The sequence below is a fragment of the Homo sapiens genome, chromosome 4 (assembly GCF_000001405.40).
Source record: "Homo sapiens chromosome 4, GRCh38.p14 Primary Assembly".
Taxonomy (NCBI): domain Eukaryota; kingdom Metazoa; phylum Chordata; class Mammalia; order Primates; family Hominidae; genus Homo; species Homo sapiens.
In genome coordinates this window covers 165,484,905-165,509,083 of record NC_000004.12, presented here as the reverse complement: position 1 = coordinate 165,509,083, position 24,179 = coordinate 165,484,905, and the positions used below count along the sequence as shown (strand labels likewise).

The following is a 24,179-nucleotide window of genomic DNA, read 5'->3' as shown; positions in this document are numbered from 1 at the left end:
TAGATAGATAGATAGATAGATAGATAGATAGATAGATGATAGGTAGATAGAAGATAGATAGATGATAGATAGATAGATAGATAGATAGATAGATAGATAGATAATAGATAGATATGTAGATATAGATTTCAATTTAGGGCTAGACACAGACACAGATGCAGACAAAGACACAGAGATAGATAGATAGATAGATAGATAGATAGATAGATAGATAGATAGATAGATAGATAATAGATGATAGATAGATAGATAATAGATGTAGATATAGATAGCGATAGATATAGATTTAGGGCTAGACACAGACACAGATGCAGACATAGACATAGATAGATATAGACAGATACAGATATAGACATACCTCCTATATCTAAAGGACTCAGGGCGTCACCCCACAGTTTGGATTTGACACCAAGGGCAGCCTGTCACCTCCCTGCCCCCCACTACCTTGCTCCCACCCTCCAATATCAGTGCCAGTTTTCACTGATTCCTCTGCCCATAGCTGTTGCGTCAAACCCAGCGGCATCTTTGCATTTCTAGGATTCACTCTGCAGGAGTGTGGCGGTGGAGCGGACATGTCCAAGGACTTGATTGCTTGTCTTGCTCAAAGAGTCAACATCACTAATATTTAGGAGTCACAGCTCTTTTATGGCCAGGATTTGCTGAGCAGTACAAAGCTATTTCTGAGTCATGACACATTTTAAACAAAACATACTCAATATCACAACATAAAGATTTTAATTTGCCTCCCCTTTTGACTCTCTCTTACATTCCATAGGAAATTTCCTTTGTAGACTTATGAGGTTATCAGGAAAACAACTTTAATCAATATTTGAATAGAAGCTCAACTGTCTTCTAGTTAAATATGAGGAGACTGAGATTCCTATAGGTGCCAAGCTCCTTTATTAGACAAGCTGCAGATCTTCCGAGCCCAGTCCCAGGCTCTTCCGATCCTACCATACTCCTGATCTTCTGAGTTCGAATTAGTTGGTCGAAGTTTCACATATCTGTCAGTGGTGAGGGAAGCAACCTAACTCTTGACTGACTTTCTGTTTCATCCAGGACACCTGATTTCAGACAAGCCAGGGCAGAGCCCAGAGTTAGGACCTGGAATCTTGGGGTCAGGGCTGGGGTTGGGGAGTTATGAAGGCTAGGGCTGTGGAAAAGTTCAAGGGAATTGTCTGGAGAGCAAGCTGCCCAGCAAGAGGATGGAGCTAAAGAAGATCCTCTCCTCTGAAGCCCCCTTCCAGAGAAAGAACCTGTGAGGAGGAGGAAGAGAAAATCTATGCTGTTTGGCCTCAGATGCTTTCCTCGCTAAATGCCTTCCTGACCCAGAGAGGTCCAGAGAGGAAGAGAGAGAGCATGCAAAGACGTACAGACAGGGGAGACAGAAGAGAAGGAAAGAAGACAGGCAAAGGGAAGGTAAGGATGCTTGGGACAGATAAAATGTACCCAAGAGACAGGTGATTAGGAAAACAGAAAGTAAAAATGCAAGTGAAAGGGGCGCCATGCTTACGTTGCAAAAACTCATGAATAATGATACGGGGTTTGAAAGTGATTCCTGGATGGAAAAAAAAGAGACTTTCTCCTTTTCCATCTTTTTATTTAGGTACAACCCTAAAGAATCTGGGATGTCAATACCGGGCACGCGATCCATTCACTCAAGTAAGCCATATCCAGCTTATGCGGATGCCAGCTCCCTGCTGCCCCAGTTAAGAATTGAGAGCCTTGTGCTGAAATTACCAGGAGCTGTATCTTCACTCTGTGTCTGTGAATAAAAGGAAGGAGATGCATAACCAAGTTTGTGCGGGCATGAGCCTGCAGGGCTGTTCACTGCCAAAGGATTCAACTGGAACTCCAGCATCTAATGCTTCTTTTCACATCTTCCTGGCAGCTCAGTGTATTTGTTGGCCCTCCCAAGGCTTGACAAAGAGCACATGTGGCTGTCTGAAGCTTGAGGTGCACACAGAAAGCTGGCACTTTCTTACTTTAATTACACACATACTTGGCTTTGAAATACCTCTGTGTATTTAATGCAGAAGGAGTTGTATTTTAGGTTTTAAGCAAAGAATGCTGCACCACCCACCGCTTTAATCTTCCCTAACCAGACCCCAAATCCCACAGCAGTGGTTCATGTAGTGAGATAAGCCGTGGCAACACATTTATGAAGCCCTGGTTAGACTCAATGCTATTTTTCTCATCATCTTGCTCTTCAAATTTAAGGTTTAAAATAAACACAGGGGAAGCTGCAGCGAAGTTTCTGGAGCAAAGGGTAACTATAGGTGAATGACCATGGCCGGCTGCTTTTAGATAGCTCCACGACAAGGCAGAGAACAGAAGTCAGCCTGGTAGTGTCAGGACTGATTTTTCAGGAATTTCTAGAATAAATATTAGTGTAAATGTGGGTAAGAAGAAAGAGCAGTTTTAGCCAGAGGGTTCACTGGAAAATTGTAAGTCATGTAGTCAGGACTATGCAAACGCTGCATTGTGATGACAGTCAAACTCATGAAACTTGACAAACTCAACCACTGATTCAGCTATTCAAAAAAAAAAAAAAGGCATTGGATCATTTTCCAGTTTACATACTTTGTACATGTATTGAGTTTTGGTTTATGATAATCAACTAGTGATTTCTCAATCATTCATTGCATATCCTATTCCTTAGTCAGTTAGTTCCTAAGTTCATGAAAAGTATTTCAGCCACATCAGTTTCAAGACAAAGTGCTAGGCATTGTTTAATTCTGAAAAATTATATAAAAAAGAAACATGAGGAAAAAACCACATTTCTCCTAGTTTTGTAGCAATTGCAACACAGATATGTTAAGTGAGTATAAAGGAAAACGTTATGGCTATTTCATCAGCAAGTGTTTTTTGCCCAGTAAGTGTCCGATTGCATGCTGCTGATTTTATTTACTGGTGAAAGTTGGGCCATTTTCAAGTATGTGCCACTCACCTTCCACTGTGCCTCCCCTTCTCTTGGCATGCATTTATTCTTTCAACAAATACCTGTGGATATTCACATTCCAGTTACCCAGAACATCTGGACAAAGTTTCTTCATCTTCTATCACTGTCATCTCCACGTGGACCCTTAGGTGATAACATTTCAGAGACACCAACTGTTCCAAGCAGCTTCTAACAATGCAGGGTGGACATTAAGCTCACAATTCTTGAAATATAAATGCATTGTGGTTTTATCTCTCTTTTCTCATCTTATCATTCTGGCCTCAGTATTAAATAGTTGCCAATTAAATAGCAATGAGGAGATAAAATATAAATAATTATTTAATGATTTTAATTTATTCAAATACTGCTATAGTTGATATTAAAACTATTACTAAACGATAGCTTTGGCTGGGTGCAGTGGCCCACGCCTGTAATCCCAGCACTTTGGGAGGCCGAGGTGGGCAGATCACTTGAGGTCAGGAGTTCAAAACCAGCCTGGCCAACATGGTGAAACCCTGTCTCTACTAAAAGTACAAAAAAATTAGCCGGGCGTGATGGCAGGTGCCTGTAATCTCAGCTACTTGGGAGGCTGAGGCAGGAGAATTGCTTGAACCCGGGAGGCGGAGGTTGCAGTGAGCTGAAATAGTGCCACTGTACTCCAGACTGGGCCACAGATCGAGACTCTGTCTCAAAACAAAACAAAATAAAACAAAAAACAAAAGAAAAAATAACATTTTGTATAACGGCAAGCCAGTTACCTTACCTGTTTGCTCCGCACTGAATCCCACCAGCGGGCTCCAGCCAACTTTAGGTCCCTGGACCCATCTTGATCTAGCATAGGGATATTTAACAGCTCTAAGATTCTTATCTACGGCCGGGCGCCGTGGCTCACGCCTGTAATCCCAGCACTTTGGGAGGACGAGGCGGGTGGATCACGAGGTCAGGAGATCAAGAACATCCTGGCTAACACGGTGAAATCCCGTCTCTACTAAAAATACAAAAAATTAGCCTGGCGTGGTGGCGGGCGCCTGTAGTCCCAGCTACTCGCGAGGCTGAGGCAGGAGAATGACTTTAACCCGAGAGGCAGAGCTTGCAGTGAGCTGAGATTGCGCCACTGCACTCCAGCCTGGGCGACAGAGCGAGACTCCATCTCAAAAAAAAAAAAAAAAAAGATTCTTATCTATAACCCAGTATTACACTATCGCTCTTCTGATAACTAGGTTTTCACCTCATGTGGTGAGATGGCCTTACCGGTGGGTCTTTAACCTGGGTTTCTTCCATGATTCTAGTTTCCGAGTACCAAGTCTCACAACTTACCTTGTAATAAGAGCAGTAACAATAAAAATAAAACACATTTTGAGCAACAGTAGTAACCCATCTTTGAGTAATAATAACACATTATTAAGTAATAATAATAGTGATTGCATTTGTTGAGCACTTGCTACGCGCCAGGCAGCTTTCTAAGTGCCTTACATAAATTAATTCATTTAATATGTGCACCACGGGACCCTCCTTGCAGTCTTCCTTCCGGATGTATACTAACAGGGAACCTTTGCCCAGGAGAGGAAGCCTCACAATGCATGCTGAGGGTCTATGTTCGTTTATTTTCAAGTGTTGTCTACATTAATTTTTTTGCTGACTTCAGGGCTCTTGATATTCCATTTTGTACACTCCAACTCCACCCCTGCTGCTGCCTGCCCTGACTATAACTTCAAAACAGACAGAACGTCAGCAACCAAACCCTGCAGCTGCGTGGGCTTTCCAGGAAATCCTTTCCCTCTTAGGGGAGTGGGAGACTAGGAGGCAGTTGTGATGCCAGGAGTCCCTGTCCTCAGCTGCCCTGTTCTGCTGACCACCCTGGCAAATCCTGAAACATGTCTCTCTACTGCATAATGTCAGGATCAAACATAACATCTGTGCCAAACAACACCATGTCTACAGGGAACTTGATCAAACTAATTGGATTTACAGTAATTCCACATGGCAAGAAGCAATAAACAAGAGCTATTGCATTTACTTGAAAAATGTTTAAAATCATCTTTAAAGGGCCTTCTTTCAAAACAGGTAATAAATACTCCCCTGAAGCCCAAAGTATAGCAATCAGCATGTGTGAATAGTCAAAAGAATATAAAACAAAGATACATTTAATGAAGAAGTACACAATTCTTTCCAGGCCATGCTAAAGAAGTGAGGTAAGGTGGAAACAGGATGGACTAGAAGTAAGGCAGACGTAGGCTGTAATCTTGCTCTGCCACATTTCAGCCGTATGAAGTGGGAAATTTAACTTAAATTCTGAATCTCTTTCTTCATCTGTTAAATAGGACAGCTGCATCACTTCTCACCTTAAAATATTGTAGTTGGGTTTCAAAACACTGCATTTCAAGTGTCTAGCGCTGAGTGCAGCATACGACACACACTCAGTCATGGTGAGGATGGTAGTGATGGTGATGATGATTCCAGTGATGGTGGTGGTGACCATAGACCATAGCAAAGTGCTGCTGGAATCCCTGGTAGAGAAGACAGGGTGAGCACTTAGTAATTGCTGAATGAATCTTCAAAAGGAAAGAATGGAGAAAGGAAAAGGAAGGAGGTAGAATACTAAAAGAGCTAAGACAGGATAATGTGTAAGAGGTCTAAGAAACTATGACACCCTCCAAAAGCTTACAGCCTTGTGGCCCCTGACATCATGGAAATTTTCAGTAAGCTTCACGAGGGGGATTTTTCTTTTCTGAGTCATCATTACAGACCATAGTCAATATCAGCTTGGGTCACACTGATGACCCTTAACCCAGCTAAGCCAAATCTTTGAATTGTTTTTAAAAACACTGATCCTCAGGGAATTTTGCAATGATTTAAATTAAAACTAAAATTATGTACTACCCTAGAAATTCAAGTCATGATTGAGTTGATTCACAGGCTGATAGTCTAGGAGAAAAAAATGAAAGAGTAAAGAATCAGACCATTTGTAAGTGCCTAGAAAGATGTTTACTTAAGAACAGCAAAACCAGGATGAGCGTATTTACAAGGTGAGACATAAAAGCTTAGGTATATTCTATCTTGACATTTTTGAGGCAGAAACTCCAAATGCCATCCAGTCCTAACCACAGAAGACAATCGTCATGGGAATTTTGAAAAGACAAGTTGAGCAATATGTTGGAACAAATGATGGTTTTCGGCCTCCCACAACACCAAATCATGGAAAGATTTCAGAAGTTGTCTGTATAAATAAAATATGAATATCAAAGTTCATATTTCCCTTTCTGCAAGTAATGTTTACCTTTGTTTATGTGAAAAATTGGAAATCAAAATGAGTTAAGATTAGCTATTTTTCCATAGTAATGTGTCTGATTTTCATTGTCAATGACAGAGAAAGAAAGCGAAGTTCAAAATATGTTCATTATTTCATTAAAATCAACTACTCAGTCCCCTTCTCTTCTTATTTTTCTTACCTAAAGCAATTTGACCCTCTTGTTCATAATCCAGATCTGTTTAACCTTCAGCTCATGTATCTCCCATATCCTTGACTGCTCTAACCTTCACTTCCAAACCAGATCAAAAAATCTTAGTTCAGATTTTTCATTTATTTTAAGTTTATATGAAACAACAATGTGACTTAACTTCAAATAAATGTCAGTATCATCTTAGACTGAATTAAGAGAAGTATAGGCCGAGTGTGGTGGCTCATGCCTGTAATCCCAGCACTTTGGCAGGCCAAGGCAGATGGATTGTTTGAGCCAAGGAATTTGAGACCAGCCTGTGCAACATGGCAAAACCCTGTCTTTACAAAATATACAAAAATTAGCTGGGTGCAGTGGTGTGTGCCTGTAGTCCTAGCTACAGGAGGCTGAGGTGAAAGGATTGCCTGTGCCTGGGAGGTTAGGGCTACAGTGAGCCATGATGGGGCCACTGAAATTTAGCCTGGACAACAGAGGGAATCCCAAGAAAGAAGAAAAAGAAGACGACGAAGACAAAAATGAAGAGGAGGAGGAGGAGAGGAAGAAGGGAAAGAAGAAGAGGAAGAAGGAGAGTAGTCAAAAGAGAAAGGTGCTGCCTACTTCACTTTTTTTTTTTTTTTTTTTGAGACAGAGTCTCAACTGTCACCCAGGCTGGAGTGCAGGGGCGCAATCTTGGCTCACGGCAACCTCCACCTCCCAAGTTCAAGCAATTCTCCTGCCTCAGCCTCTCAAGTAGCTGGGACTGCAGGCGCCTGCCACCACACCCGGCTAATTTTTGTATTTTTTTAGTAGAGACCGAGTTTCACCATGTTGCCCAGGGTGATCTCAAACTCCTAAGCTCAGGCAATCCATCCTCCTTGGCCTCCCAAAGTGCTGGGATTACAGGCATGAGCCACCGCGCCTGGCCCCACTTTACTTTTACAAAAAAAAAGCCACAAATCTAAAATACTACATATTTATGCCTCTTAAAAATTTTAGGCATTCAGTATAAGTTGCCTATTTCTTCTACTCCTGAGTTCAGAAGCAGTTGAAAAATAAAACACAGATCAATAGACAGACAAGAGTTTAAACTGTCAGCTTTATTATTGATAAACCAATTGGAGAAAATGACATTAGATCTGTGAACCAAAGAGCCTATTAATACTCTGTGACTGCCAACTCTCTCCTGTATCCAAATACACATCCAAAGCCTCCCTCTGCACCCAAAGGAAAGTTTGGAGCTGTCTCTAGGGAGGAAAATGGGAAGTTTACAGTCCTTTGATAGAGTTGTTCTACCCCGTTAGCACCCCATCACCACCTAGCAATTAGGTAATTAATTTCTCTGCTGGAAGGAGTGTGTGAGGAGTGAGACTACAGGCCAAGAGTTGTATTTCAATGGAGGTCCTTCAACACAAAAACATGAGACCAGGGAAAGGACTTTCCCTCCCAACAGTGCTCAATTCTTTTTTTTTTTTTTTTTTTTTTTTTTTTGAGACGGAGTCTTGCTCTGTCACCCAGGTTGGAGTGCAGTGGCACGGTCCCTGCTCACTGCAACCTCCACCTCCTGGGTTCACGCCATTCTCCTGCCTCAGCCTCCCGAGTAGCTGGGACTACAAGCGCCCGCCACCATGCCCGGCTAATTTTTTGTATTTTTAGTAGAGACGGGTTTCACTGTATTAGTCAGGATGGTCTCAATCTCCTGATCTTGTGATCCGCCCGCCTCAGCCTCCCAAAGTGCTGGGATTACAGGCGTGAGCCACCGCACCCGGCCAACAGTGCTCAATTCTATGTCCCCTATGCCATCAGATAAAATTGGAGCATGTTAACAGCATGACCAGGACAGGGAGCTTTGAAGCCCTCTATCAAGAAAAATGGGTGCAAGGACAAGACTACGTGGACCTAACAACTTCCTTCCAACAATCGAATAGGTAGTCCATTTGGTCTATATGGCCCTGTAGTGGAGACATATAACCTGTGTCCTCCCCTACATTTCCTGCATTCTGTTCAGTTAGGCAAAGCCGCCTGACTAGTCCTGGACAACAAAATGTGAGCAGAAGTGACATGTGTCACCTCCAGGCTAAGCCAATGAAGGTCCACTCCTTAGTTCCAGTCTCTCCTCCCCTCCCTCTGCAGTAAGTGGGGAGGTCCCACATTCCAGATGGTACAGCTATGCAAGTCAGGACCTCCACCAACCTAGGTCCCGAGTGAACAGAGAGAAGTTTAAGAGAGCAAAGTTAAGGCCATGGAGAACAATAAGAAAAGAAAGCTATTGGCTGGGCGCGGTGGCTCACGCCTGTAATCCCAGCACTTTGGGAGGCCGAGGCGGGCAGCTCACAAGGTCAGGAGATCGAGACCATCCTGGCTAACACGGTGAAAACCCATCTCTACTAAAAATACAAAAAAATTAGCCGGGCGTGGTGGTGGGGACCTGTAATCCCAGCTACTCGGGAGGCTGAGGCAGGAGAATGGCATGAACCCAGGAGGCAGAGCTTGCAATGAGCTGAGATCACGCCACTGCACTCCAGCCTGGGCGACACAGTGAGACTCCGTCTCAAAAAAAAAAAGAAAAGAAAGAAAGCTCTTGCCAAAGTGTAGAATGAATTCTGAAACCAGAAACATTTTCCACCCCCAAAATAGGAGGCCCATAAAGTATTTGCTCGGCAAGATTTCTGAGTTGCTGCAGGCCTGAATGCTGGGCCCCTCTCATTCCTCACCACTGTGGAAGTGTTTCCTCACATTGTCTTGATCCTGTTCTACCACTGCACACTGCGGGTGAGGGATGCATTTTACCTGTCTTCTTAGTTTACTTGTCCCTGAAACAGGACTGGCCATGTACAGACCTGACATAGAGACTATTGTGAGATCACTCAGAGATCCTGAAATTGAAGCTCAAAGCCATGATTTGATGTGGCTGTAAATCGTCTCCCTTGCAAAGTGAGTCCTACTTTTGGAAACAGGAGAGCAAAGTTGTGTTGGCACCAGAGAGAGGACTACGGCAGTGACAATGCTTACCAAACATTGTGGTTAGGCAAGGCCATGTAACTAGCTCTGACCTGTGGGCTGTGGGCAGTAGTGGCCCCAGTTATCTTCTTCTGCGACCAACACAGGAGACTGAGGAAACCTTGTGCTGAGATGGCAGAACCGCACGTGGAAACATTCTACATAATTGTGTCACAGCATGCAGCGCAAAGTTCCTGGAGAGTTACGTAGACCTACAGACTTTGCATGAAAAATCAATTACTATTAAGTTAGAACGCTAAGATTTGGAGTTGCTTCTTACGGCAGCATACTCCAGTCTATCCTATCTTATCTAAACCTCAAGAAGCAAAATTTTGAAGCTCTTCAGAGCTCAGTTTCAATCTCATTTTTCTTCTCACTGTGGGCTTCTCTTAGGCAATTGTACATCTGTCCTTCTTCAATCTCCATCAAGCCATGTGTTTCCTACCCCAATGCCTTTGCATCTGCTATTCTGTCCCAAAGTCCACTTCTCCTCACCTACCTGGGTACACTTCTAGACTACCTTTCCCAGACTCCCTTGCAGTTACTGTGGCCAAAGAATGTACAATTCCAGGCAGTGTGATGTGAACAGAAGTAATGTACACCACTCCCAGGCCTGCCCATAAGAACACCCTCTACATTCTCCCCCTTGCTCTTTCCCCTTTCCTATTGGCTGCAATGGAGACGACCACCAATGCGGCAGTGTTGGACGTGTGCAGAAGATGGCAGATCTTCTGTCAGAATGGATCCCAGAACGTGGTCCCAGACTGTGTGAAGAAAAGTCACCCCATCTTTCTGTCTTTTTCCAGTATAGGTACCTGAGCAAAAAATACACTTCCATTGTGTTTAACCCAGGATATATGTGGGGGCCTACTATTATAACAGCACGATTTTAACCAAAACTTACACTTGCAGCATTGATCAACCATACCACCACCACCATGCACACACACACACACACACCCCTGCACTCTGCACTGCTCACACCCACTCAATATTCTAGGTCTGTGCATTAAGATGCATCCCTGACTCTTCTCATCCAGTCTAATTTAAGTTGCTCTGTCATTCTTTCTCTTTCCCTACTCTTTCTTGTCATTTTACTTATCACAATGCATAATTACATATTAACCAGTGTGTTACTGATTTAGAGTTTGTGTCCAAACATTAATTTTTGTGTTATTTATATAAAGGTTGTGCCCAAAATCAGAACCTTTTGCCTGCCACAATAACATACATAGAGGCTATGCAGTGCTTAGCACACAGTAGTTGCTTAACAAATTTTAAAATGTACAGGATGAATATATGAGAAGCCGCCATTAAGAGGATACATGTTTTCATCATAAGACCACAATGCCAGACCAAAAATCTTAGAGAACTGAAATACATGCACTGGGGATTTTTTTTTAACCTTTATTCATTCAGAATGCAATTCTGGGCCACTCTACAACCAAGAGAAAACCCTAAACTTTTAAGTAGTGTTAACGGACTACATAATATAATAGTATTGCTCCTATATGTACAAGCAAGAAGTCAATTTTTATTCTTTTCATAAAACCTCTTTGTAAACATGTACCTTTTCTTCCCATCAAAAATGCATTAACAAGATCATGCTTATAGTTAGTCAGCACAAGAAAAAAACGACAATTTATACTGAACTATTTAAGTCTTGCAGTAGAGTGCTCACAACTCCGAGCTGTATCTGTTAACCTTTTCAATAGCATTCATTATGTGACATTGTCACCAATTACAGTAAAAGAACTTCACTAATTTTTGAAAGCTAGAATTACTCAAAAAATTCTGCATTGTAAATAATACCAGGAATATTGCATTTAAGCCTAGGATGGCAAAATTACTTAAATCTTTTCTATACTTTTTTGTGTAATATAGGTAGGAAAATGAATACTATATAAGAGAATGAAATATATCAAGTTCTTATATTTTTACCTAAGAGGCTATTTATTTTAAGGAAAGTTGATTAATATTTAAATGATTAAAAAATAAATCAATGTTAAGTATTAACTGCACAAAATCTAAAAAAAAGACCACATTACATCATACTACATTATATAGATAGATTTAAAGCAGCTAACTAGAAGCCTTTTTAAAAATTTAAAGTTTCTGACATCATTTTCCACCATTCCATCAATTCTTCCTTCTCCTCTTCTTTCCTTTCAGAAAATGACTCCAGTTCAAAATCAACCTAAAAGAGAAAATCAAGAACATATTATTATCAAACTGCATGTGTTTTTTTAAATTGAAATAAAAAAATAAGAGCAGTTTCAGTATACACTCAATCCAGCCACCTGAATTAAAGTAAATCCTGAAATAAAATCTCTTGCAATAAACAAAAGATATTTTCAGGGGGAAAAAATTCAAAAGCAAAATTCAAAAGCCTTATGTTTGAAATGTCCTTTGATTTAATAGCTTTGAAGACAGATATAATTCAACAAAATTCTTGCCCCAGTCTCTTCTCCTCATAAAAAGATGTAACTGGCCAGGCGCGGTGGCTCACGTCTGTAATCCCAGCACTTTGGGAGGTCGAGGTGGGCAGATCACAAGGTCAAGAATTCGAGGCCCGCCTGACCAACATGGTGAAACCACATCTCTGCTAAAAATACAAAAATTAGCCGGGCACGGTGGCGCACGCTGTAATCCCAGCTACTCAGGAGGCTGAGGCAGGAGAATTTCTTGAACCCGGGAGGCAGAGCTTGCAGTGAGCCAAGATCGTGCCACTGCACTCCAGCCTGGGCGACAGAGCAAGACTCTGTCTCAAAAAAGAAAAGAAAAAAAGAGGATGTAACTTATAGTTAATTTTCTGCCTTTGGTTATTTAGTGAGCACCTCCTGTCAGCCTTGAATCTTTTCCTAATGTGGGAGGGAATGTGGAAGAATACAGTTCAGCATGCTGGTATCCCAAACCACAAGGTTCTGCTATCCAGAATCTTGAATTTGTTAAAGAAACTGACAAAAGCACGTATGTGTCCAAGCCACTCTCTTTGTGAATGGGAATCTTCATCAGGTCTAGGGAGAAGCCACACACTCCGCATAAAAGGCTATTCAAAGTAGGCAGCCCCCAACCCCAATCCCCTCAGGCCCCATCCCAGATGGAACTAAGAGTTTCTTGATTTGGCCACTTAAACGCCTGATTATTTTGGATCGTGATTACACTGACTATATCCTTGCACTAACACATGCCAGAAAGACAAAGGATCAAAATAGTTGAACCTTTACAACTTGTTCCCAGGGCCATTTTTTCCAGGTTTCAGTTACCCAAATATACCTCTTGATTTTAATACATATACAGCCCAATGTAGACATACATGCACACAATCAAAACCATATACCAGTTAAAAACTCAAGATATTTTGTTTGCATAAATCAAGCATTTATACTCCAAGTTTTGGGTACATAAACAAAAATAATAATAAATTCTTTTCAAGTAAGCTTTTTAGACTTTCAAGAAATCCTACAGGTATTCCCACGGTCCCAGGCATATAATACAAAGGTAGTAGTAAAATTCTGCTCTAAGAGAAGTTTTGGTCTTATCACCATCACCTTCCTAACAAACAAATGAGATCTACTTAAATAAGATATGGTTTTTGATACTACTTAGCACAGAGAGCCTTGCACATAAAATATGCTAAATAAGTGTTTGGTTACCACCTAAAATTTTCTTATATGCATCATTTTTTTTTCAAATACTTATTGAGAAAGGCACTGCGCTAGGTGCTAAAGATAAAAAGGCAAATGAAACATAATCCCATTGAGATGGAAATCAAGGTTAGCAAATAAAAATTTAATTTTTTAAAGTTTTATTTCATTTTCTTGTAAATCTCTTCAAAAACTGAGAAATGGTAATAGAGCTTCATATTAACTTTGCTAAGCCTCAGTTTTCTCATCTGTTAAGTTGAGATAACAATGTTGCCTACCTCATAGGGCTAGTACGAAGATTAAATATAAATCACTTCAGTATGCCTGACAATGATAAATGCTTAATTATTATTATAGCGTTTGGCTATTATTATGATTACTTACCCCAGCAGCAGGGCTGTAAGGAACTGCCACTTTCTTTGTTATTGCCAGATAGCCTGGAGCTGAGGCTGTAAGTTTATAGTTTCCAGGTATAAGCAATCTCCAGTAATCACCATCCTTTGCTGTAGGAAGGCAGAATATCAAATCACAAAGCACATGAAATATGCAGAATTACACAATGCATAATTATGCCATCTAAGGAATACCCAGTCTAGCTCAGTTCACCTTTTTTGATTCTCGATTTTTAAAGTAAATATATAGGGAATTTAATGAAATTTTATTGAATAGGGTGTGAAACTCTCTTTACAGGCTTCATTTCTTATAGCTACTTTATAGATATCAATGTTAAATTGTCTAATAAACCTCGTACGATCATAGATCTTCTAATCACATCAGGAGCAACACAGGTAAAAAGACAGATGAATTCCCCAAGCAGCAGGGTCAGAACATACAGCCATCATGTTTTGATTCTTGCCAGGTGAAGACCTGCTGGTCAGAGAATCTTCACAGAGTGTGGGCCAAAGGTAGCCCTTGTAGGATCTCTGAGGTCCTAGTTAGAAATTTAGATTTCTAAAGACTTAGAATACACTGGGCACCCTAGTCCATTCAATCTCCCATTTACCTAAGTCAGTGATTTTCAAACTTGGGTGCAAACCTGGGAACTTGGTAAAATGAAAAATCTGATTCCAGCTCCCAGGTTCTGCATTCCTGACCAGCCCCAGGGCAATGCTAAGGTTGCGAGCAGAGGCCACACTTTGAAGAGCAAGGTTTTCGTAGACACTTCACACCTTCTCCTTTTTCCTAACACCCCTACACATCCTGTTCAACCTCCCAGTTGTTACTTTACATCTTATTTCATTGCAAAAATAGGTACAGTCAAAAAAATTAAGCCCCCATCACCGTATCATCAAATCTACCTCTAAATCTACATCTCCTTGCAGCTAGTGCCTCAATTGTCTTTTTGCTTTATAGCAAAATTTCTGGAAAGGTTTGTTCATGTTCTCAATCTCAGAATGGTTCTTTTCTTATTCTGTCTTGGACCCAGTCCAATCAGGATCCCACCATTCACTCCATTGAACAGATTTTTTCAAGATCCTCTGAACTGCTAAATCCAAGGATTCATTCACAAGGTTCATCTTAATTAACGCTTTTTCACTCCCTTCTTCTTGAAGCACTTCAAAGCCTCCAGGACAACACACTTCATTTTCTACCTTCAGTACAACACACTTCATTTTCTACCGTCAGTTCTATTGCTGGTTCCTTCTTATTATCACCTTGTCCCTGAAAAGCTGGAGTATTCTAGAGCCCCTCCTCTGATTTAATTTCTTCCCACGTGTTTATTCCCTAGGTTAGATTTTCCTAAACATTTCACATCATGGAATGTAGAGAAAATAAAATATTTGTATGACATATTAGGGCTAACAGGTTTCTTGTGGCAGGGATACTAACGCTGGGTTTCACCCTCTCAGCTAAGGGCTAAGGGGCTACATGGGCTGACATCTTGGCACAGATTCTGGCATACTGGCTGGCACCTAGTGGGCTGTTGATACATGAAGAATGAATGGAGTTTTAGAGGACAAATGTTAAAGATTTTTTTTTAATCCAAGCTATAAATGTGAAGGTTAAGAAAGAGTTGATGGTACAGAGTGGTTTGGGACATAAGTTAAAGGTTAATTGTCACAAAGTCTAAAAAAAATTGTAAAGAGTTTACAGCTAAAAAGAAAAAGTTGTCATTATTGAAAAGATCCCAACAAATGACAAACTAAAATGACCTGGATCAATGTTTATTAATGCGAGTAGGTAGACTTGCCAGAAAAATGCATCATTTTCCTCAAACTGGGGAAATGGAAATGGAGCTCAAAACCTGGAAGTCACTAACATCGCACCTCAATCCTATAAACTCTTGTTTAACCTTGAATCCCTGCGGATTTATTATACGGATTAAATGAAAAACTGTGTGAGAATTTTTAGACACACAACCCGCAGCAGTTTTCTTCCTTCCTCCTCTTTCCGCTCCCTCCTTCGGTCTCCCCATTCGCAGCTCGTTAGCACTTCTTAACAGAGACTAGAAAGTCACTGGTATTTTAACTCCAGCAGCTCCTTTTCCTTTGCCTGAAGAACCGCGAAGAATCGGCAGCCTGTGGCACCACCTCCCAGCTCTGGGGCGAGATAGCTGAGGAAAGGGCGCCATCTGCTGCACCCGGATTTCTAACGCAGCAGCCGCCCTGGGCTCCACTCACTCCGCCTGACCTGAGCCCACAAAGGAAACTTCACCAGATCAAAGCTGAGAAACGCTGTAGAGATACGAGCTATTTGTTTTGCTTAGAAGAACATAAGACTTATAATTATGATAATTAGTAATTATGCTCTTGTACATAACGTAGAGCCTCCAATTGTGGCAAAGACCCACCGGATGTAACATCGTGGTCTATTCCTTCCACGGAGATGGTGGCATTCGCAATTGGGTTACCTTGAAGGTCTCGGACAAATCCTTTAACTCCTCGGTGTATCTGTGAAGGTCAAAAATAACCAAAAAATTAATATGACCTATAAATTTATAGAAATGGCCTTAAATATGTTTCATATCAAGCATCTCTTTATTTTCCAGCAAATACCGTAGACCCCCATTGTTTAAGAATCAAGACATGCACAAAAGGCCACTGAATTTTTTGTGCATTTTATTCTGCTTTTCCCTAAATAGATAAGTGAAAATTAATGTCTTGTTTGCTTCCCAAAAAAAAGATTTTAGTACCTTCCAAATCATTTTAAAAAGTGTCATATTAAGGGAGGAGACCACTCCTCATATTGTCTTATGCCCAATTTCTGCCTCCAAAGAAGGAAAAACTAAAAGGCAGAAATGAAATCCACAAGCAGGCAGCCCGGGGCCACACCCTGGGCCTGGTAGTTAAAGATGGACTCCTGACCTAATCGGTTATGTTATCTATAGATTACAGACAGTGTATGGAAAAGCACTGTGAAAATCCCTGTCCTGTTCTGTTCCGTTCTAATTACTGGTGCATGCAGCCCCCAGTCACGTACCCCCTGCTTGCTCAATTGATCACGACCCTCTCATGCGGTCCCCCTTAGAGTTGTAAGCCCTTAAGAAGGACAGGAATTGCTCACTCAGGGAGCTGGGTTTTTGCAACATGAGTCTTGACGATGCTCCCGGCTGAATAATAAAGCCCTTCCTTCTTTAACTCGGTGTCTGAGGGGTTTTGTCTGCAGCTCGTCCTGCTCCAATATGTGTAAAGTTCTAGTCTTAGTGCATTTCATAACTTACTCTCTTTCAATTTTGGTCACCTGTGTATTCATTATATGGCTACTGTCAATTAACAAGGATATCATAATAAAAGCCTGTTAATATTAGCTCATTCTGGATAAAAAGATATATACTGTGACTGCTTTTGCATTAAATCTATTAACATTATTTTGGCTGAAAATAGAGTAGTGAGCCTCATAACAGAAAATAGAATGTTGATTTAGAAAGAAGATGGGAGAGCTGCCATTGAAAATAATCCCCCTAAATTAAGTTGTAGTCATCAACTGGCTATTATTTAATACACTGCAAACTACAAAAACTGCTTTTCTCTTTATTTTGGAAAGACAATTCATCTAAGTCAATATGTGTTTGAAGTGACAGAGTCGCTTCAGGTCTTTAAGAAAGTACTGCATCTAGAATATCAAATCGTAATGCATTAAACTTGATTACTCAACAAAATATGCACCAACCTCCCAAATGCTCAGGTTGTGCCTCACTCAATCGGGCTATAGAAAATAAATTGTCTTTCGCTACTTATGATACTTGACTATTTCCCTACAGAAGACAGATAAGTCTCCTGTAATCCTTTGTCATCAAAGAATAAATTCGGCAGTGGTACACTGTTTTATCAAAAAGATGTGCCTTGTTACCAGCAATATTTTTTGTGTGTGCCATTTTTCTTAAAAAAAAAGAAAACTCTCACACCCTATAAAAATAACATGTAATTTTTTAATGTTGCAAATAGGAAACAGTAATAATGATCATTTTATTGGCAACCAGTATAGTAGAGTAAATATATTTTTAAAAATTTAAGATTTATTCAATTCTAACTTTTCTCCATAACTAATAAGCCAACCAAAATTGAAAAGAGTTTGAAATTCAGCCATTGGAAAACATGAAACATGAAAACTTAACTTTCTGAATTAAAAGATGAAAAATCAGAAAAAGTGTAGAGAAGAAGAAAAGGGCTATATATAGAGACCCAAACTCTAAATTTCTTAAAATGAGGCCCCATTCAATAAAACTTAGAAAGATGCTAGCTGATAAAAGAGGCTTTACCCAAGTACTTTATTCCTCTTGAGGCACTATAATCCTGAAATTATCAATAGCATAAGCCTTAAAGAAAGGTTCTAATTCCCACATCATTGTAAAGTAAGTAAATCAATCACTACAAGAACATATTATTTGCCTGTATTAGGCAGAAATATATTAGGTTAATATTCATGGCTTTACTTTTTTCTGCTTCTGCAATCCAAGACTTATATTGCAATATGTGCAATATGCAGTTTAACAAATAGTTAAAGAAGTAAATGTCTGTCTGTGATATGTCAACTTTTCTGTTTGAAAAATTCCAGTGTAGTAATAAATCTCAGTAGAAGTGTATGGGCTGTGTCAACTCCCCCATGAATTCAGACTGGAAAATTCAGATTGTATGGCTTTTGCAAAAGAAATCACGAAAGTCCAAATTTCACTCATGCCTGGAGAAGCTGTTTTACTACACTTGCGGTGCCTGCAATGATTGCTCCCCAGATTCCAGGACATCTCAGTTTCAGCGAAGGCTGAAAAAGCCTCCAGAAGATTCTCCATTTTTGCTAGGACTGTTTATAGCCCCTAAACCCTCATGTACTTAGTGTCACGCAGATAGCTTGCTGCAAATGAAGATACTTCGGTCCTGCCCTGCAGAGAGTGTGATTCAATGGTAGGAGAGGAAACTCATTTTTAATAAGAACTCTAGGTGATTCTAATGCAGGTGCCCATGAACCATTCTTTTTTTTTTTTTTTTTTTTTTTTTGAGACGGAGTCTCGCTCTGTCGCCCAGGCTGGAGTGTAGTGTGATCTCGGCTCACTGCAAGCTCCGCCTCCCGGGTTCATGCCATTCTCCTGCCTCAGCCTCCGGAGTAGCTGGGACTACAGGCACATGCCACCACGCCCGGCTAATTTTTTGTATTTTTAGTAGAGACAGGGTTTCACCGTGTTAGCCAGGATGGTCTTGATCTCCTGACCTCATGATCTGCCTGCCTCGGCCTCCCAAAGTGCTGGGATTACAGGCGTGAGCCACCACGCCTGGCCCATGAACCATTCTTTAAGAAATTTTTTGAGAATTTTGAGAACTAGACTCTTTCAAAGCTACTGAGTGGAAGGGAGGCTCTTCTCCTTAGCAGACTCTCTACTCTAATTAGCTTTACAATTCTAGTCCCTGCAAACATCTCTTTAAAACTCTGCAAGGGATTTCCTCTCAAACAATTACAGAAATAGATCTCCTAATCACCTATTTTCCATGAGTTGTAAACTAGTCCAAGCTTAGATTTTAGGCCCAGGTGTTCAATTACTAATCACCACCATTGTCAAGACAACAATTACAACACAGAACTTCTGGCAGCCCTCACTGATTTTTCATCAGCCTTTGTTTTCCTAAACTGGAGTGTTCTATGATGCAAGCTAGATGAGCTGGTTATAAATACCACTCACTGCTTAGACACAGTTTGCATCCTAATGACAATGCCATATCAAGGTAGATCACATGGATCTGTGGACAGAGCAAATTCTTATTTTGCGTGGCATAAAATAGGATTGTATAACTTTAACCTTCTTCTTTTTAGCTTATTTATATATAAATTGATATTACTGTCAGATGAATTGGATGCATGCCCACCTGCTACCATAAGTATGACAAATCTCCTTTTTCCTGATGGTAAGAAGACGTGTTTTATTTGTTTTGTATTATTTTTTTTCTCAAGAACTAAGAGATGATTTAAACAGCAGCTAAGCATGTTTTTAAATTGTTGATCACAGTGATGATCTTATTGGCATCAACTTTAGTAAATCTTATAGCCCGGCTCCAAGAAGCCTTTTCCAAACTCCCGTGACTCGGTTAGGTCCCCTTCTGTGTACTGTTATTGCTCCTTGTAGCTAAGCTTTTATTGTTTTTCAGCCAGCTCTCCTCCTCTCTTGTGATTAGGTATTCTTGTTTCTGACAGCACTCGTGTGAAGCCTTCCTGAGGACGGTCACTATCCCCAGTGCCTCACAGAATGCCTGGGATGTGAAACTAGTCAATACATTTTAGTTGAAAAACTATATACATAAAATTAAAAGCACTGTATTAAGGAGTATTAAGACAAATATTATTAAACATTTAAAGATTATTAAATATTTATTAAAATAAAAAGCACTGTATTTGATATGTAAGTGGAGAACACCCCAATCAGTCCCATCTTACTTCCTCTATCCAAAAACATACTTTTCAGTTAACTTTGCTCTCAGAAGATCCATCCAAATACGGCTCTCCTCAAAGGAGACATTCTGTAGGGGTTCCCACCAAAGTTGTTCTAGAGTCATCGTGGACTGCTTATCCTTAGTTTTTGTTGTTGGAAAATACCTTTTTAAGCTAACATGCAGCAGGAATCCATTGATTTAAAAAGAATCCAGTGGAATGAGTGCTCTTTAATCACCATCTGACATCAGTGGATCTATTCCACGACAGTCCCTGGTAAGGTATTACAGTATATGGATATTTGACATGTGTAAAAGAATTCCTATGCTGATTTTGCTTCTTCTTCTTCTTTTTTTTTTTAGAGCAGCCTTTATTCAAAGGAGGCCATAGCAAGCTATAGGGACCACTGCAACAGAGCCTTGCAATGGTGGAGAAAGAAACTGGATTCAACTCCTGGTTTTACTTTAAAAAAAGTGTTGATTTTATATGTATATGTTTATATGTACATATACACATATAAATACTTAAATGTTTATTTAACAGCTTTTTTATGTCAAATTAGTTTAACAGATTGGTCTGGACTATTTGTTGGCACATGAAACTAACATCACTCTACTTGACTTTAGGTGTAAATGGCCACATTCAGGATAAAATTTGAAGACTGGCAAAGAACTGCAGGAATGAACAGAGTCTTAGGTCTTTCCACTGCCACTGCCTCTGGGGCCAGTGTCTACATACTATGCAGGGGGTGGGGTTGGCAGAGGACTGGCCTGAGTAGGTAAAGGATTTTATTCTGGCAGATGGTGAGATCCCCCAAAATTCTATATGGATCACATTGGAATGGCTACATAAATGACTCTCTGGTAAAGATCCAGGCTTCTGTTCTGAAAGTCAGTACAGCATGGTGATTCTGGAAATAGACAGCCTTGATTCAGATTCTAGCTAAGCAACTTCAGGTGAGCTGTCTAGCCTCTCTGTGTCTCTGATTCCTCATCTTTAATTTAGTGATGATTATAATGATGATGATGATAATTTCCCTCATAAGGTTGTTGTGTGGATTAAATGAACTAACTATTACATAAAAGGCATTTAGTATAATGCCTGGGAAATAGTAAATGACAAACATAACTCATTATTATTATTATTACCTGTGATGCAGTTGAGTCTAGGGTGAGAAAGATGAGGCTTGTACAGCTCAAAACTTAAAGAGACACTCACTCTCAAGTGCTAATCCTGTACTTGCATGCCCCTAAGATTAAAATCCTCCTTAAATTTTCCATTCAGGTGCCTCGCTTGCCTTACTTTTGTTCTGGCTCTGCCTGGGATGCCTCACGGTGATCAGGGTGGGAGAGAGTCCTAGGATTGCCCTTGCTTAGAATAATACAAACAGAAACGAGAGTCTACGTCTTTTCTGTATACTCTCCAGTTTAGTCAGTTCTTGGTGAATAGTCCTGAGCCACAAAACCTATGACAAATAAAAGCCTAACTGAAACACTGCTGACACCTGCCTTCCAAATATGGCATCCTCATTCTGCACCAGACGGATTCTCCTGGACTCCTCTTACAAGACCATTGTAGGACAGGTTTGAATGCTTGTAAACCTTGCATTTTTATGCTGGGGACTGTGTTTACCTGCTCAAGGTAGCTAATGAGGGAGTTTTTGTTATCCTCCCAGTAGGTCTTCAGAGTCTCTTCAGGTGGGAACTTCTCACAGCTAAGCTCCACGGTGATCTCAAAACAGTTGCTGCTAAGGTAATTGAAGTCTTGCATCCCTGCCAAAACACCAAATGGAAAGTCAAAATATGCACAAGGAGCCTAAAACTCTACACAGGCTAGTCTTCTGAATCAAGAACCAAGTAAAAGGTACACAAACCAGGGCATTTGGGAAGCCTGTGGGAAAACTTAAGGGAAATCATCTGCTGTAAGGGATTGAACAACATAGGTCGGGGGTTGTTATACCTTAAAAGCACAAACTCTCAGGTTCCTAAGCAAAAGCATTTGCTGCTGCAGAGTGCTAATGCAGACATTACCCACCTTCCACATTGCTGGAGTGGGCTTCGGAGAAGACAACAGGGTAAAAGACTTCATCCCCACTGATCTATTAAAGAAATGCACATCCCTCTAAGTCTACCTTTCTACTGGAGAAGAACTTGGAGCTTCATGTGACATGATCTGACATACTATATTATTCCTTAAGCCCAATCAATATCATAGTGTATTCCTGAGGGATTGGGAGTCTTGGCAATATACTATTGTCAATCAAGGAAAATGATGAGACAAGTCTCAATTGTTTTAGGAGATTTCTTTGCCAAAGTTAAGGATGCGCCCCAGAGACAGGTCTATGCCTCTCTCCGAAGATGATTTTGAGGGCTCCAAATTGAAAGGGGAGAGGGTGGGATATTGATAAGCACAGAGTTTTCACATAAACCAAAGGGGACAGAGGAAAAATGTGGGGAATGTGCATTTTACATAAGATAACGCAGACAAAATGGGGTAGGGGGGCAATCGGATACGCATTTGTGTCTGGTGGGCTGGGGTGCCTGCACCTGTAAAGATAAGCTATCAATTTACATGGCCATGGTGAAGTTTTAACAGCTCACCCAGAATTTCCCTGTGGGCAAAATATGGGGGAGGCGTGTACCCTTTCATCTTGTAATCATCTTATTTAGGAACCAAAATGGGGAGGCAGGTTTGTGTGACCCAGTTCCCAGCTTGACTTTTCCCTTTAGCTAAATGAATTTGGGGTCCTAGAATTTAATTTCCTTTCACACTATATGCTAATTCAACAATCCCTGAGTTGAATTACATACAAGATATAATGATAACAATACTTCAAATAGCACCAAAGAGAATATTCTGCATTCAGAACAATTTTAATTTAAATCTGACTCAAATTAGCAGAGGATGCTGTTAGTGCCCACCAGATTGCTTTTATGGAGGCAGGGCATCCAGACCCAAACTGCTGCAGGTGTTGGCTGTTAGAGCTCACAGCTACCCCCCCACCCCTTTTCCAGAGAATTGCTGATGGGAGCCAGAATCTCCCACCTGGCTTGGGAGTTACATCATGCTATCTCTCACCCCCAATTCCTGCTGGCACCCCACAACCAATGGCTGACAGATATGGAGCCACCAAAGGCTGGTCCCTTTCTCTCAAGGGGAGACAAACCTGCCCCTAATTTATGCTCCAGGCTTCTTCCAATGGCTCAGGCCAAGGCTGGACTTTGCCTGAGACCACAACCCTGTTTAGCTCTATCCCCTTCCTTGCCCTGCTTCCCTCACTTCCCTACAGGGTTTGTCCTAAAAAGTAATCCCTTAATAAATTACAAGTACCCAAATCCCTATCTCAGGCTCTGCTTCTAGAAAACCTGACCTAAGACATGAATGTTATTCACTATATACAGAACTGAAGACTAACGGAGCTTCCTTTGACTGTTTAGTTAAGCGAGACGTAATCGTTAACTAACATTATTACTATTGTTAATAATGTTATTATCAGTATTTAACTGATATAGATTACTTTATATTTTGTTGACAATACACTATTTGTTCAAAAAGGAATTCCAAGAAGTCATTAAAGTTTTTATAAAAACTAAAGTATAAAATTACTTCCCATCTGATGTACTAGACATGCTCTAAATCCTAAATTTGACATAGATCATATTTCTGAAGCTATTGGGGAAAGAGTACTAAGTCTGATCTGGATAAAATGCAAAATATAAATAAAAACAGAATTAACATGTATCAGAAAGAAAAAAATCAGAAAGAATATTTTTCTCAGCACATAATTCAACAAAATTAAGCATATTAAACATACCAATACCCTTCAATTAGCTAATGTTGCTTATTACCCTAACAAATTTTCTTTTTCCAGGTGGGCCATAGAAAATTTTTCTCAGGCAAAGAGAAAAGTAAAAATATATATAAATATCTTCGCATTTCACTCTTCATCCTTGAGTGTTAGTGAAAATACGAGCTCTGTAAAGTCCGCCTTGGGACAAGGAAGGCAAGAGAGCTTCCTTGGCTACCTAGGAAGGGGCTTCCCCCAGCTGCTGTCCCACATGGCAACTGCTTCCTTTTCAGACTAAAAGGCAAAAAGCTACCTGATCTCATAGAGATTATTAGAATAGTGAACATAAACTAAATATTCCATGTCAAATACTCCCCATTATCCCATCATTTAATACAAAAGTACTGTGCACCAGGTTATGCTAAAAGCCAAAACAAGCCCTCTAAAATATATATTTACCTACAGTGAAAGAGCATGACTGGCATAAACTAAGGATGCCATCTTATTCCCTAAGGCTT

The 24,179-nt window shown here is 40.5% G+C and overlaps 1 protein-coding gene and 1 long non-coding RNA gene across 2 annotated transcripts in view, besides 1 other annotated feature; both read right to left on the bottom strand.

Annotated features, from left to right (window-relative positions):
* Window positions 1-1,681: 1,681 nt before the first annotated feature.
* Window positions 1,682-3,884, bottom strand: LOC105377520 (uncharacterized). The gene is made up of 3 exons (XR_939419.2): window positions 3,705-3,884; window positions 2,951-3,003; window positions 1,682-1,765 (listed from the first exon to the last, which is right to left on the bottom strand). It is a non-coding gene; the product is annotated as an uncharacterized LOC105377520 (long non-coding RNA).
* Window positions 3,885-10,536: 6,652 nt separating this feature from the next.
* CPE (carboxypeptidase E) overlaps window positions 10,537-24,179 on the bottom strand; it is a 119,540-nt gene continuing 105,897 nt past the window's right edge. Inside the window, exons 6-9 of the mRNA NM_001873.4 lie at window positions 21,507-21,646; window positions 15,814-15,913; window positions 13,407-13,525; window positions 10,537-11,572 (exon numbers count right to left, since the gene is read on the bottom strand). Coding sequence (NP_001864.1) covers window positions 11,474-11,572; window positions 13,407-13,525; window positions 15,814-15,913; window positions 21,507-21,646 — 458 coding nt within the window. The 3' untranslated portion in view covers window positions 10,537-11,473. The remainder of the gene's footprint in view (window positions 11,573-13,406; window positions 13,526-15,813; window positions 15,914-21,506; window positions 21,647-24,179) is intronic.
* Window positions 15,513-15,682: a silencer, noted in NCBI's record as "silent region_15786". NCBI's record gives its function as "represses an Ori minimal core promoter by ATAC-STARR-seq in GM12878 lymphoblastoid cells {active_cell/tissue: GM12878}" and the evidence as "EXISTENCE:reporter gene assay evidence [ECO:0000049][PMID:35858748]".